This window comes from Homo sapiens, chromosome 19, assembly GCF_000001405.40.
Source record: "Homo sapiens chromosome 19, GRCh38.p14 Primary Assembly".
NCBI lineage: Eukaryota > Metazoa > Chordata > Mammalia > Primates > Hominidae > Homo > Homo sapiens.
Genome location: NC_000019.10, coordinates 21,777,316 through 21,794,376, shown reverse-complemented (window position 1 = coordinate 21,794,376; position 17,061 = coordinate 21,777,316).

Sequence of the window (17,061 nt, the reverse complement as noted above, 5' to 3'; positions counted from 1 at the left end):
TATTTCAGATAAGAGCATTCCAGACAGAGTGAAGAACACATCACTTCTGCTGCTCTGACATTAGACTAAAGATCTGAATTTCTGTTATAGCTCAACTGAATTTGCTTGGTTTGCCACTGCAGAGATTAATGCACCAGGTCAATCTCTAGGGGCTCTGGTCTGCAGATTGTCAAGACAGCCTATTCAACATGTAAGAAAAGCTCATGGAACTGAAATCACCTATTTCTGCAAAAGGGGCACAACCATTGTTAATCTCTTTATATTTTGGAGACAAAATATGCCACATTTGAGAATGCTGCTTCAACACATGTACAGAGTGACCCAGAAAGCTGCCTATCTTTACTGAAGCCCAGAGCAAGAGGCAGTTCTGCAGCTGGTGTGGCTGGAGGGAAGGCAGCTCTGCAGTAGAGGACACAGGATGGAGCTGAAGCATCTGCAGCAGGTCACGGTGCTGTGACCTACTGCAGAACTGACAGTTGGCAAGCCCAACTGACAACCACAGTACAGAATTCCAGGGATGTAAAAAAAAATCTAGTTTTGACAAATGTATTGGAAATAGGTCTTGGCTTGCCACTGCACTTCTTTAGAGATTGAACAACTGATCATGGGATATGATGTAACAAGACCTGAAATATCCATTATGAATTGCATGTTATGAGATCTACTGGAAAATAGCATGGTATACACAGTTGCTGTAGACAAGTAAGGAACACTGGTCTATAGGCCATCAAGCTGAAGCACGTGCTATGGGCACAAAAAGGTTGCATGTAGAGGTGACTCAGACCTCCATGGCACCTACCTCCATGCATTGCCACCTTTCAACCCACAACTGAGGCCCTATTGGTGTTTCTTATTAACAGGTAACCAATGGGGGAAATAATTTACCTATCCACAGATGATTCTGTACAATATGCTATTTCCAGTATAATTTAAGCTGGTAGTTATTTGGCCCTGAAAAAAAAAAAAAAACCTGGGGAAAAGATAGCTTTCCAAATGGCAGAAATTTGAACAACATATAGTTTTTGTTTACATCATTTAGAGATAGGCATCTGCATGTATTTATTGCTAATGGCCATAAGTCTGGAACTGTAGACTTTGATATAAACAAAAGATTCAGCAATAATGAGTCTGCAATGAGGTATATGATTGACCAGTTGGAATGAACATGGGAATATTTGTTTCCTATGTGAATGCTTTTTGTGAGTATGAGAAGCTACCAATAATAGGGCTAATAGGGCCAGGTGCAGTTGTTCACGCCTGTAATCCCAGCACTTTGGGAGGCTGAGGCAGGTGGATCATGAGTTCAGGAGATAGAGACAATCCTGGCCAACATGTTGAGACTCTGTCTCTAATAAAAATACAAAATTTAGCTGGTCGTGGTGGTGCGTGCCTGTAATCTTAGCTACTTTGGAGGCTGAGGCAGGAGAATTGCTTGAATCAGGGAGTCGGAGGTTGTAGTGAGCCAAGATGGCGCCACTGCACTCCAGCCTGGTGACAGAGCAAGACTCCATCTCAAAACAAACAAACAAACAAAAAATATGTGTGTATATATATATATGGCCAAATGGATGACTGGGCTTTGGATATTAGACTTTTTCCATACCTTTCACAATGTTTGCTTAATGGGTCCATGGAAGACAATGTGGACATGGTAGGAGGGAGAAGATTTTCCATGAGTTCAAGAACTCATGGACTTTCCTTCACTGATACTGGCCACTGATGCAAATGAGCACCAAGACTGCCAATAATTACCAATGCTGAAATCCTGGAAAGGTGAGCTACCTTGATTAGACCCATCAAATTCCTGGTAGAATTGTAGTAATATTCTTTCCATTTTTTCCTAGAGGTTGTAAAAAAAATTTTATCACTAGAATTGACACACATTTGAATACTGATGTTCCTCTATTATGCTTCTCCTTGCATCAAATTAGTTGCATTTGCTGAGTCTTTATTCTCTGTCCTGATTTTGTACATATTATTGCCACTGATGACAGAGTTTATTTTCCAAAAGAGAAGTGTCACAATAGGCTGCAGCCTGTAAGATTTCTTGGTCTTGTGATTGCCCGCATCATCCAAAACATACCCTTAAAAGAATCAGTTATGTTGCCAACTGTGAGACCATACCCTAAGAGCTTAGGTTTCTATCACACAAGATGTTCCCGGAGGCACATTGATTCCCTCACCCCAGGAACACCAGGAAGTGCAGGATTAGATCTCATGGCCAGAGAAAGGGTTACATTAGTTGGGGAAGACAAACCCACCAAGAATCCCACTGGCATTTGGAGACCTTCACCAGCAGGATACATGGGACTAATTTTAGGCAAAAGCCGTCTTAACTTACAGGGCATTAGTGTAGTCCCAGGAGTTGTTGACTCTGATTATGAAGGAGAAATTCAAGTAGTTTTAATGTCACAAGATCTTTGGGCTTTTGAACCAGGAGAACATATTGCTCAATTATTGCTTATTCCCTATAAATTACACCCTTCTCCATGAAAGGAGAAATGAGGAAATAAAGGTTTTGGGAAGCACAATCACCTGGGAAATCTATCTAAGCCAACCCTAGCCTCTAATAGACTCACCTGTGTAGTATAAATTAAAGGAAATAAATTTTATGCGCTTATGGATACAGGAGCTGATGTGTCAGTAATATCTAAAGACAAATGGCTCCCATCCTGGCCCTTGCAATTAACTTCTACATCCCTAGTGGGAGTAGAAACAGCTCAAAGTGTTCAACACAGTGCTGAGATTTTACCTTGTCTTGGTCTGGATGGACAGTCATGTACTTTTCAGCCCTATGTTGCAAATATAGCTATCAATTTATGGGGTTGAGACTTACAGCATGGGATATGAGACTTACAAATGAAAACTTTGATGACCCAGGATTTAAAATGTTGAAGAACATGGGATATCAGAAAGGAAAAGGTTTGGGGAGGTTCCTACAAGGAAACCCTAACCCGATATCAATAACTGGAAAAACAGATAGAAAAGGGCTAGAATGTCAGGATTTCTGATGGGGGTCATTGATATTTCTCCTCCACCCTCTGCTTTACCATTAGAATGGCTTAGTGACAAACCCATATGGGTGGATCAATGGCCCCTATCTCAGGAGAAGCTGATGCAACATCAGCAGCTAGTAAAAGAACAATTGGATACAGGACCTTATTCCAAAAAGGTCCGGAAGATGGCGACTGCTGTAAGATTTGAGAACTATTAATGCAAAAATTAAACCGATGGGCACCTTACAGAAAGGTGTACCATCTCCAGAGGCTATTAATGTATCTTAAGGATTGTTTCTTTACCATACACTTACACGAGAAGGATAAGCCTCGATTTGCCTTCTCCGTGCCTTCTATTAATCAAAGAGAACCTGTTTCTCATTATCAATGGAGAGTTTTACCCCAAGGCATGCTTAACAGTCCTGTGCTATGTCAGCATTTTGTAGGACAGGCATTAAAGGAGCCTCGGAATATGTTTCCTACTGCTTACATCATTCATTTTATGGATGATATTCTTTTGGCCACTCCTACAGATCAAGTATTGCATCAATTATTCAGAGAAGTAAAGTGAGCTCTTGTTAATTGGAATCTCAAAATTGCTCCAGAGAAGGTACGAACAACTTCTCCATACCAATACTTAGGAACTATTGTTACAGAGAGGAGTGTATGGCCTCAGAAAGTAGTTCTTTGTAAAGACAGGTTATAGACTTTAAATGATTTTCAACAATTATTAGGAGATATTAATTGGCTATGCCCAATGTTAGGTATTGGTACCTATCAACTTACACATCTTTACCAAACCCTGCAAGGAGATTCTTCTTTAAATTCCCCAAGGCAATTAACTAAAGAGGCAAGACGCTGAGTTATGGCTTGTAGAGCAAATGTTACAGCAGAGACATGCCTCACAGCTACAACTGCAAAAACCTTTGCTTTTGTTTATTCTTCCTACCCCCCACTCTCTAGTAGGACTTTTGGGCCAGTTCATAGACAAGTCTGTAACAGTAATAGAATGGCTCTTTCTACCTAATCAAACCATCAGTACCTTGCAAGTTTATCTTTCTTTAATTACACAAATGGTGACTAGGGGCAGGCATAGGTCAAAAATGCTTACGGGATATCACCCTGACAAAATTATTGTTCCTTTAGACTCCCAGCAACAGGCCACAGCTTGGGAAATGTCAATTGCATGGCAAATTGCTTTTGCAGACTTTGTGGGAATAATAGAAAAATCATTATCCCTCAGACAAAATTTTGCAGTTTTATAAAATGCATTCTTTCATTCTTCCTGTGATTACTCATCACAAGCCTATTCCAGGTGGCCAGAATTATTTTACTGATGGCTGTTCCAAAGGCTGTGCCACTGTCTATGGACCTAAACATACTGAACCATTAATGACCTCTGGGGTTTCAGCTCAATGCTCAGAGTTAATTGCAGTCATTCAGGTTTTACAGCTCACAGCTTCAGATCCTATCAACATTTTCTGTGATTCAGCTTATGTTGTAAATGTAGCCAGTTGCATAGAAACTGCTACAATTAAAAGTACACTAGACCTGGAACTGCTTAATTTATTTTTAAGATTTCAACATGATATTTATTCTTGTGCAGCTCCTTTTCATATTTCTCATGTTTGTTCTCACACACAACTTCCTGGACCATTATCCTTAGGAAATGATAAAGCAGATAAATTGATTGGTTCTGTGTTTCAGCAAGCGCTACTGCACGAAAATACTTCCGCCCTTACTCACATGTTCCATTTATCTCGCAGCCAAGCTAGGGCTATAATACAAGCCTGTCCTATTTGCCAGCATGTCCCCGGAGCCACACCTGTAGAAGGCTGTAACCCATGATGTTTGGCTCCAAATGAAATTTGGCAAATGGATGTTACACACATAGCAAACTTTGGTAAGCTTAGCTATATTTCTGTGACTATAGACACTTATTCTCATATGCTGCATGATACATGCCAAACAGGTGAGACAATTGGTCATGTACAGTGACATTGTCATCCTTTGTTCATATGGGGATACATAAACAATTAAAAACTGACAATGGACCTGCTTATACTAGTCATGCTTTTCAAAATTTCTTACAGCTTTGAGCTATAACCCATAAAACAAGAATTCCTTATAATCCTAGAGGACAAGGCATTATAAAGTGGGCACATCAAACATTACAACACATGTTGAAAACACAAAAAGGGGGTATAGGAGGCCAACTACCACCTCAGTCAAAACTACATTTAGCCTTATTTACTTTAAATTTTTTGACTTCTGGTACAGATGGTAAGGCTCCAGCAGAAAGACATTGGCAAGTGTTAGAGGAAAAGAGGAAAGTTTATCCAAAAGTTTTATGGAAATCCCCAGAAGAAGGACAATGGAAAGATCCAGTGGATTTACTGATGAGAAGACAAGGTTATACTCGTGTTTTTACAGGAGATGGACAAACCGTGTGGATGCCCTCAAGGTGCATGAGACCATGGAATGGGAGACTGGAGGAACCCAGGGTGGCCAACCATGGGCTTCGCCCCTTGGTATGAGCCATGAGCCAGCTGAGCCTGAGTGTGAAGACAGGGAGAAGGCTGACTAGAGTCACGACGACATCAACCCAATAACTTGGGGGCAACTCAAGAAAACCATGCAGGAAGCTGAGAAACAAGTGGAGCATCAAAACCAGACAAAAACCCCTAATTACATGTTCATGGCCATGTTAGCCATAATGTCCTGTGCGGTATGTTTTCCATGTGCAGAGGCAAAAACATATCGTGCATATCTTCCCAATTCCCCAGCAGTACAACCTATACTTTGGAGTGACACTCCTCCTGAGATTTATCATGATCAAGGAGCATGGGCTTCAGGACCCCTAACTCCCCCTGACATAGAACAGTTAGACTCTCAGAATAATGTCATTAATTATATCGCTCCACTGGAAGGACTTCTCATGTGTATCACCACAAAGATGTCACTCAGCCATAGGTGTCTTACAATTCAAGCTCAAATATGGTTGAGTCACTATAGAAAAATCATGTCCTTATTAAGTCTTAGTTCTATTAATGTAACTGGTGTGCTAACCAACCATTCCCAGCCCAATTGTCCTAATTGTGCTGCTCTACAGAATGGATTCCCTTCAATAGTTCCTACCCCCCTCCTTGGACCCAGTGTCTTGGCCCAGTGCCTAGAAAACAATCTATGTTAACTGGAGACATTATGGATTGGGGACCTAAAGTTCAGTTAGATGGAAAAGATGAAAATCGGAAATCATGGCACAAACTTTGCTGGCATTGATGGCAAGCTTTTAATGCTTCTTCTTTATACAACACTGGAATCCAATCCATCTGCCACCCAGATTGCTTGGCATGGAGCAGGCTTTAGCCCATCTCTTCCTCAGCGGCATTATCTAGGGAGGAAAGGACCAATTCGAGAGACGATATGGAAGGCAGCACTCCCATTTATGAATGGCAACATCTGGGTTGGTATATTATCCAATAATAGCAATAGTAAATGACACAGTCTTAATGTTGCATTTGTAAAGAATATCACCACTCAATTTACAGTTTTTTTTTTTGTTTTTTTGTTAGTTTTCATTTTTTTTGAGACAGAGTCTCACTCTGTCACCCAGGCTGGAGTGCAATGGCATGGTTTCAGCTCACTGCAACCTCTGCCTCCTGGGTTCAAGTGGTTCTCCCACCTCAGCCTCCCGAGTAGCCAGGACTACAGGCATGTGCCACCACACCCAGCTAATTTTTGTATTTTTAGTAGAGATTGGATTTCACTATGTTGGCCAGGCTGGTCTTGAACTCCTGACCTTGTGATCCACCTGCCTCGGCCTCCCAAAGTGCTGGGATTACAAGTGTGAGCCATTGTGCCTGGTCTACAGTTTGTGTTTTTAATCTTCACGTTTTTTTGGCAGCTAAGAAGGACCAGCTCCAGGTAAACAATACCCAACTGACCTGTAAATCTTGCCAATTATATCACTGCATTAATCATAGCACATTGCAAACACACAGTGTCTCTACTTTGATGATTTTAGATCGCATCCCTGGGCTATGGATTCCTGTCAGTCTGTCCAAGCCTTGTATTCTCACACCTCCTTTGCATTTTGTGAAGCTTCTTCTAACTCAGCTTACTCATCATGTCCATAGAGCCTTAGGCATGATAATTTTCACTATTGTTTCCTTGGTCACACTAATAACTTCTGTTGTGATGTCCTCTGTAGCTTTGCATAGTTCTATTCAAACTGCTCAGTATGTGGAGAACTGGACGCGCACAGCTGACCAAGCATGGCTACTTCAGAATAAAATTAACACTGAGTTTCAAACTGAAGTGGCAATGTTAAAATTCATGGTTCTATGGTTAGGAGAACAAGTACAAAGCTTACAATTGCAGGAGCAATTGCGTTGTCATTTTAGTCACACTCATGTTTGTGTAACCAACTTAGAATATAACCAAAGTGAGTATCCATGGGGCCTTGTGAAAGCCCATTTGCAGGGAGCTTTCACATCCAACATCACCTTTGATATTGGTGAATTACAAAACAAAATTCTTATTTAAATAGGCAAACTCAAGAGTTTCAGCCTTCTTTAGAAGACTGGACTGAATTCCAGCAAGGCCTGGAGAGCCTCAACCCTTGGAACTATCTAAAGCACCACGTTAACTAACATCTTGTATGTAGTTCTTGGAATAATGTTGTTTTGTCTCTGTCTTCTGTTCACAGTCTGTAAAATCAGATGGAACGCCAATTGGAAAATGAGAGCTGCCCACCCTGGCCTTACATTGTTTTAATTAATACATAAACACAAAGTGGGAGAGGTTGAGAGCCAAAAAGGCCAAAGGGATTGTGACCAACTCAGCATTCCACTAGAGGCCATATGATCAAACAGCAAGCTGTTTGTCATGAATGGAGGATGTGAGCAAACTCACAACTGCGCCTGCCACCAGAAGGTTTGCTGAGGGTGGTCACTCCCTGGCACTGGGCTCCTTGAGGTTATCTACTGGGACATCTAGAGCCTATTGTTCAAGGAATGCAGTCTTGCAGGCCTACTCTGGACTGAGCAAATGACCTCTTCTTCCATCCCCCTTCTCACTATCTCTTTTACCAATAAATACGAAGGGCTGTGGAAAATCTGGGCCCTTGTCTACTAGAGACAAGGTGCCCCCGACCCCTTCTTTCAAACATACTCTTTTGTCTTTGTCTTTCTTTCCACATTCACCCTCCTTTCTTCAGTCCACCAGGGATCGAGTTCAGTAACAGACTCAGAACTTTGGGAGGTCGAGGCAGGGGTATCATGAGGTCAGGAGTTTGAGAACACCCTGACCAACATGGTGAAACCCTGTTTCTACTAAAAATACAAAAATTAGCTGGGTGTGGTGGTACGTGCCTGTAACCTCAGCTACTCAGGTGGTTGAGGCAGGAGAATCCCTTGAACCTGGGAGGCAGAGATTGCAGTTTGCCAAGATCACGCCACTGCACTCCAGCCTGGGCGACAGAGCAAGACTCCATGTGAAAAAAAAAAATAGAATAAAGAGTTTATTAAGAATTTTATGGCTGGGCATGGTGGCTCCCGCCTGTAATCCCATCACTTTGGGAAGCTGAGGCAGGTGGATCATGAGGTCAGGAGATCGAGACCATCCTGGCTAACATGGTGAAACCTTGCCTCTATTAATAATACAAAAAAAAAATTAGCTGGGCATGGTGGTGGGCGCCTGTAGTCCCAGCTACTGGGGAGGCTGAGACAGGAGAATAGCGTGAACCAGGGAGGCGGAGCTTGCAGTGAGCGGAGATCACGCCACTGCACTCCAGCCTGGGCGACAGAGTGAGACTCCGTCTAAAAAAAAAAAAAAGAATTTTATAAGGTTGTTTGAGTATTAAATTTAAAAATGCATTTGAATTTTGTGCTTTGTAAATAGTAACAAGCTGCAGAAATTTTTGTTCCTTGTTCTTTGTCTTAAGCTTTGCACCCATCAACATTAAATACCATTCATTGCACAAAATAGTTATTTAGTTGTCAGGAACTAAGTAAATTAATATTAGAAAATAATATAAGATTTTGGTAAAATAAAAACAACCTTCCATTTACTGACTCTCTTTATCTGTGTTGTGTTTTACACCAGATGAATAACGTAAAAATCCCTTAATGATTCAAAGCAGGAATTCTTTACACTTAAAGCTCAAAACAGCATTCTATGCAAGTGCTGTTTTCCACATTCTCAATCATTCTACTTCTGTCTTGCATTTCCACCTGGAAATATGCCTTTCAGTATCAGTTTTGAATTGTCAATGTTTCTGCCATTTTGCTAAGATCATTCCCTTCCTTAATCACAAAACTGTGCGAAACCATAAGAAACCTCTGGTAGGGTCATTGTTCCCATAGACCTTTTTTTCAAGATATGCTCAGATTCCCTAAGACAAAAATGGGAAGTAAAGCATTTGAGGAGAAGAATATAAATGATTTACAACAATATTCACTTTGAAAACAGAGCCAGACTTACAAAGAAATGGTATCTTTTTTTTCTTTTTTTTTTTTTTTTGAGACGGAGTTTTGCTCTTGTTGCCCAGGCTGGAATGCAATGGCGTGATCTCAGCTCACCACCATCTCCGCCTCCCAGGTTCAAGTGATTCTCCTGCCTCAGCCTCCCAAGTAGCTGGGATTACAGTCATGCATCACCAAGCCTGGCTAATTTTTTGTATTTTTAGTAGAAACAAGGTTTCTCCATGTTGGTCAGGCTGGTCTCCAACTCCCGACCTCAGGTGATGCACCTACCTCAGCCCCCCCAAGTGCCGGGATTACAGGTGTGAGCCACCATACTTGGCTGAAATGTTTTTAATAATTTAAAGACACTAGAAATCAAGGTGTTATCCAGGAATATAAATTGTTTAAATTATTTAACCTTTTTGATATATTAACTTAGATGTCAGGGGTTTCTGGAATTCAATTCTAGTAATTTCAGATATTTAACAACTTTATCTGCATCATTAATTTAATTTTACAACTTTATCTGCACCATTAATTTAATTTTTGCAAGTTTGTGACTTGTGATTCTTTTTTGCCAAATAAGTTAATGTCTTCTATATTCTATAATAGAAATAAATTTTAGAGTCATAAAATATGTCTAGAAAAAGGGTCTGTTTCAAATTCTTTCTCACTAGTAGTTTATCAGAAAGTTGTAATTAAGATATCAGTGGGACATCTAGGAAATACTGATGTTACATTTACAGAGAAAGTAAACAAGCAATTGCTCTGGTGGGTTCAGATAATCCCTAAATTATCTAGTTTAATCTGGTGTACTTAAAGATATCCTGGCTGCAGAAAATCTGGTTGAATTTGCATGAGTGTAAGAATGTGAGGATGTGTGTGTGCCTGTTTGTATATACATGTTTGCATAGTGGGAAAGTTTAGAATGAAAATCAAGTTCTGATGCAAAAGAATTAATGTCACAGATATTCATTAAAAAGTAATCTCTCTGTCATTCTGCTATTAGTGAGTATGCATTCTGTCCACACAAGCCTGTTTTTTGCTTTCTGAGGTTGCCGCAGGCCATTTCAGCTTTTCTGATTCAGTTGCTTCTAGTGATTGCAGATATCTTCCACTGCAGAAAATTGCAATTTATTAGTTCCTATTCTGTTTCCTAGACTCATCTACATAGAGAGAGTACTAAAAGATTCAGTTTTAAAAAGTTTTTATGCACATCAAAAATATTATTCCTCTTTTGTAACTCGTTCATGTCTATGTCTATTATTTGCATCAGGTAATGACTCAAACATTTCTCAAAATCTAGGAAGTTTACTATATTTCTCTTAAAGTTGGCTTATTTAGGGACTATAAGGTAATAAAATTCAGTAAGAATAGAGCTAGAACTACTAAAATTAGTCAGGACTATTAGATAATCTATTAAATTCTACGTTAATCTCGAGATAATTATGTATTTCAAATTTTACTCTAAAAAAGTACTGTAGATGGGGCGCGGTGGCTCACACTTGTAATCCCAGCACTTTGGGAGGCCGAGGCAGGCAGATCACGAGGTCAAGAAATCGAGACCATCCTGGCCAACATGGTGAAACCCCATCTCTACTAAAAATACAAAAATTAGCCTGGCACAGTGGTGCATGCCTGTAATCCCAGCTACTGAGGAGGCTGAGGCAGAAGAATCGCTTGAACCCGGCAGACGGAGGTTGCAATGAGCTGAGACCGCACCATTGCACTTCAGCCTGGGCGACAGAGCGAGACTTCGTCTCAAAAATAAATAAATAAATAAAAGCTCAGCAATTATAGGAAATGTATTTCGTATAGACTTAGAAAATTCCCATTTTTGTATGGTCTTGGGTGCCTTATTTTTTTAATTTTTTCCTTTTTTTTTTTTTTTTTTTTTTTTGAGATGGAGTCTCGCTTTGTCGCCCAGGCTGGAGTGCAGTGGTGCGATCTCGGCTCACTACGAGCTCCACCTCCCAGGTTCACAGCATTCTCCTGCCTCAGCCTCCTCAGTAGCTGGGACTACAGGTGCCCACCACCACGCCCGGCTAATTTTTTGTATTTTTAGTAGAGACGGGGTTTCACTGTGTTAGTCAGGATGGTCTCGATCTCCTGACCTCGTGATCCGCCCGCCTCGGCCTCCCAAAGTTCTGCGATTACAGGCGTGAGCCACTGCGCCCGCCCTCTAGTTTTTTTTTTTTTTTTTTTTAATATATATGACTGAAGACTGTGTGTACTTATCTGCCCTTACTGACAGAAAATCAAGAGTGCACATGAAAGCATTCTCTTGAATAAGGAAGGAAGCCTTATTTCTAATCTTCTATAGACTGAATTATGGAAGGTAAGATTAGTGAAACACTCTATGTCCAGAGCACTGAATGTCTTTCTGTCCACTGGCCACAGTAAGTTTGAATAGGTGGAGGTCAATGGTCAACACTAGGAATCAACAGGAATAATGCCAAAAATAAGGGGTCAGCTTATGAGAGATTAGATGACAAAATATGGCTTGAACTGACTCAGCAAGTATTACAAACTTTAGCAACTGATGCCCACTGACACTTAACAATAACACGGACTGGTGGCTGGGCATGGTGGGTCACGCCTGTATCGAACACCTGAGTTCAGGAGTTTGAGACCAGCCTGACCAACACGGAGAAACCCCTAATATACAAAATACTAAAAACACAAAATTAGCCAGGCATGGTGGTGGGCGCCTGTAGTCCCAGCTACTCAGGAGGCTGAGGCAGGAGAATTGCTTGAACCCAGGAGGTGGAGGTTTCGGTGATCCGAGATCAAGCCATTGCACTCCAGCCTGGGCAACAAGAGCAAAACTCCATCTCAAAAAAAAAAAAAGAAAGAAAGAAAGGCCAGGCGCAGTGGCTCACGCCTGTAATCTTAGTACTTTGGGAGGCCGAGGCGGGCAGATCGCCTGAGGTCAGTTCAAGACCAGCCTGACCAATATGGTGAAACTCCGTCTCTACTAAAAATACAAAAATTAGCCATGCATGGTGGCAGGCACCTGTAATCCTAGCTACTCAGGAGGTTGAGGCGGGAGAATCGCTTCAACCCTTGAGGCGGAGATTGCAGTGAGCCAAGGTCGCACCACTGCACTCCAGCCTGGGCGACAGAGCGAAACTCCGTCTCAAAAACAAAAAAAAAAAAAAGAGAAAAAAAAGAAAAGAAAAAAAGAAGGCCTAGTGACTATAAGAATCTTTATATTAGTATTTATTTATTATGTTGTTTATATATTTATTAATTATGTGTATTATGTTGTTTATATTAATTATGTAGTTTATGTTTTTAGCAAGAACATTGAGTCTGCACATGTGTGCACAAGTTCACATTTTAAAACAACAGAGAACATTAAAACAAAAAATCTTTCATTAAAGTGAACCATTCCAACCTCAAAAAAGATTAAGTTAAAACATGAAACCACTCTTTATATCTTGCTTCAAATACCTCATAATTATCACAGAGATTGTAGAGAGCACCTGTTTTGTTTAATAAAATATAAGCATATAAGTTTAAGATAGTCTGGGGCAAAGGTAGCAGACAGTGGGAAAGTCTTCTGGATTTGTTTTTGTTTTCCACATTCTGAAAAAGTCCTATGAAATAGCAAAAAGAAAAAAAAAAAAAAAAAAAGACTTCTTAAGCTATTGCATGCAAACCCAAACCCAACAAGATATTAAAGTCAAGTGATTCCCTATGGATTCACTGAGCGGGGAGAATTTCAGTACCAGTTGTCTAGGTTTCAGATTAAGTCATGGGCTCAGTGAGTGAATTCATGGTATTAGCTCTGTGTGTGTACACAGGATGCTGTCATTGCATCACTGTGAGGACACAGATGGCAGCATCAGTCATATATATATTGGGGCTCTTATAATACTGTTATAACCATGGGTGTGCAAATATTACTTCTAGTTCCTGCTTTGCATACATAGGCTTTTTCTGTATAATGTTCAGAGAAAGAGAGCTTTTTTTTTTTTTTTTTAATTTAAATATTGAGTTTTCTGAACCATTTGTTGGAGAGTCAGTTTTTCTCCCCATTGTTTGGTCATGATAATGGCCATGCAATGCCAAGCTGGAGCTACTGCTTTGTCCATTTCTGGAGCACCCAGTCCGTGAGTGCCTTCAGATTTGCCCCAGTGCCCCTGCCTGAGGTGTGAAATGGTGGCAACTTCTGGCACCTGTTATTGCCTGACCCATGGAGCTCCCAGCCCTGCTGTCCCCTCTGTCCTGGGTATCCTGTGCCTGGAGGTCTGGTCACTCCTGCTTCCACAGCACGCCTCCTATTCTGGCTCCTTCAACTCCCTTCCTCCTAGTTCTCATGGTCGGGCACCTGGCTTCTTAGAGATGCAGAAGCAGCATGGCACCTTGGGTTCTGAACAGGGTGAGCAGATGCAGAAAATGGGGGCAAATAATATTTTGTAATATGTTAGAGAATATTTATTAAATATTAAGCCAACACTTATTTTGTGAAAAAATATTACTTGATTATGGTATGTAATTTTTTTTTTTTTTTGAGACAGAGTCTCACTCTGTTGCCCAGGCTGGAGTGCAATGGCGTGATCTAGGCTCACTGCAACCTCCCCCTCCCGGGTACAAGCCATTCTCTTTCACCAGCCTCCCAAGTTGCTGAGATTACAGGTGCACACCTCCACATTCAGCTAATTTTTGTATTATTATTATTATTATTTTTTAGTAGAGACAGGGTTTCACCATGTTGGCTAGGCTGATCTCGAACTCCTGGCCTCAAGTGATCCACCTGCCTCGGCCTCCCAAAGTGCTGGGATTACAGGCCTGAGCCCCAACGCCCGGCCTGCAATCTTTTTTTTTTTTTTTTTTTTTTTTTTTTTTTTTTTTGAGACAGAGTATCTCAGGTGGCTCATGCCTGTAATCCCAGCACTCTGGGAGGCTGAGGTGGGCAGATCACCTGAGGTCAGGAGTTCGAGGACCAGCCTGGCCAATATGGCAAAACCCCGTCTCTACTAAAAATACAAAAATTAGCTGGGCGTGGTCGCGGGCCTCTGTAATCCCAGCTACTTGGGAGGCTGAGGTATGAGACTCACTTGAACCCGGGAGGCAGAGGTTGCAGTGAGCCAAGATCTCACCACAGCACTGCAGCCTGGGTGACAGAGGGAGATTCTGTCACAAACAAACAAACAAATATACAAACAAAAAACAAGAAAAAAAATTACATGGGATAGAAAAGTACATCAACAACTAATAGCTGAAAACTTTAGCAATTGGTAAAACCTTATTATGTTGATCTAAGAAGATTAACAACCTGACAAGGAAAATACAAATTAAAGCACATCTTAGGCATATCATAATCAAACCACTAAAAATCTAAAGATAAAACAATATAAGAAAAAATTATACAAACCTAATATTCTTTTTTTTTTTTTTTTGAGATGGAGTTTTGCTCTTATTGCCCAAGCTGGAGTGCAATGGCACAATCTCGGCTCACCACAACCTCCCTCTCCCGGGTTCAAGCGATTCTCCTGCCTCAGCCTCCAGAGTAGCTGGGATTACAGGCACCCACCACCATGCCTGGCTAATTTTTGTATTTTTCTAGAGACGGAGTTTCACCATGTTGTTGGCCAGGCTGGTCTTGAACTCCCGACCTCAGGTGATCCGGCCGCCTCGGCCTCCCAAAGTGCTGGGATTACAGGCGTGAGCCACTGCGCCCAGGCTCAAGCCCAATATTCTTAAATGTCTGTAAGTTACTCTAAAATATCTTTGCTTTACCAGAAACATTTGTACATATATAAAAATTCTGGTTGAACTACCCCTGAATTCATTACTTAGATAGGCTTCTATTTTATTAGATTCACTAAGCAAGTCACACCAAAATACCTTAAAAGTAAGCCTTTTGCTGTTTGCCATGTTGACAATGTGTATTTAGCTAAAATATGGCTGTTTTTTCTCTGACAAAATTTGCCTGCTTGTAAATGCCCAGAGTAAAAGGACTAAAGTTCGTAAAATATAGATACAAAGTCTGGCACTGAAAAGATTCAAGAGTTTAAATTTCAATGAGCCTAAAATTACGGTATTTACCCAAAATGTGAGGATTCTAAATAACCAGCTGTGGGAGAGTTAAAGAACCACTTAGGGTTGCATTCCCGTGGAGGCTCCCTTGATCAGAAACACTGCCATAGTCACGAGGGATGTCTACAAACCAAGATTCAAAGTATATGTTTTTATAGCTTAAGATACCCCATTTTAAGGCAGGAAAAAATCTCTGTCAGATGGTCTAGTTTGATGCTAATTTTAATGAGTGACATATTCTAGTTGAACTAATTTGATATTTGTTACAGAAAAAAAGGCAGCAGGTGGATTCCCATTTCCAGGGCATTAATAATTGGATGCTTGGTGTCTCAGGGTTTATTCTAACCAAGATGACTGAGAGTAATGGACACAGTTTTACCTTTACCCAAAAAAGTTTATTTCAAGTGAAACATTTTTTAAAAATTTACTTTATTAAATATAACTCTAAGAATATAGAGGGTTTTTTTTTAATGACTTCTCAAGAACAGGTATTGGCAAACTTTTTATAAGAAAGCAGAGAGTAAATAATGTATACTGTACCACGTAGCATTTGCCACATCCACTTTCTTCAGCCCTGAAGCTCTAAGAGGCTGGAATAAATGAAGGCAGTGAAGGGGTAGCCAGTGGGGCCTCAGCCAGCAGGCCCATGGCTGCTGCTGGTCCCTGATATGGGGGGAGCCACAAGGGAACACAGCAGGTTATGCAGGACACAGACCCTTGAGTTTGCTGAAGTTTCCCATGGGGCCAGGCTCTGCCCCAGAAATGCCACTAACAGTACCCACTCATCGTGAGGGCTGTACGCACATCTTTTGCCTGCTCCCACCCTTTGCCCAGCCTGGAGCCTGCTGCTGCCACTGCCAGGGGAACATGGCCACCTGCAATGAGATCAGGCAGAGGAAATAGTGTAAGGGTCAGGATTTCAGCAGCTCCCCATGTTTCTACAGGCAGCTTCTTTTTCCAGGAACAGGGTCCTGTTTCCAAGCTAGCATCTGGGATTGTGGGGGTTCTTATGTGCTCCCTGGAAGGCGCTCTTGGCTGCAATTTTGGGCAAGGGTTTTGGGAGGTCTTCAAAGGCACAGGACTAAACTTCCAAACATAGCAGCTGTGCCCTGGGGTCTTCATGCCACCATTCTGACTGTGGATTTATTCATAATGATAAGATTTCACATTTTTATAACTTTAAAATAAAGAATTTTTATTTTTAATTAAAATTTCCATGCCTTCTGTAATATTTTCAGATACTATATTTGAGGCTATCCTGTAAATGTCTTATACTTGTATCTTTTGTGGTTGTTTGCATGTTTCAATAGTGATGTTATTATTACTGTAAAAGTTTTAAGTTTGTGTTTTAGGAGACTTTGACCTATTTGTGGCCTCTTTTTGAGACTCATGTTTATTGTAGAAAGAGGAACCACAGAGGTCCATGTTTGAGTCAGATCAATCTCCTTTTGCCATCAAGGATTTAACATCAGAGGCTCCAAAAATGTAAAAGCTGATTTAATCCTGAACAAAAAGTGTATGTATTATTAATATGACACAGGAAAATATTT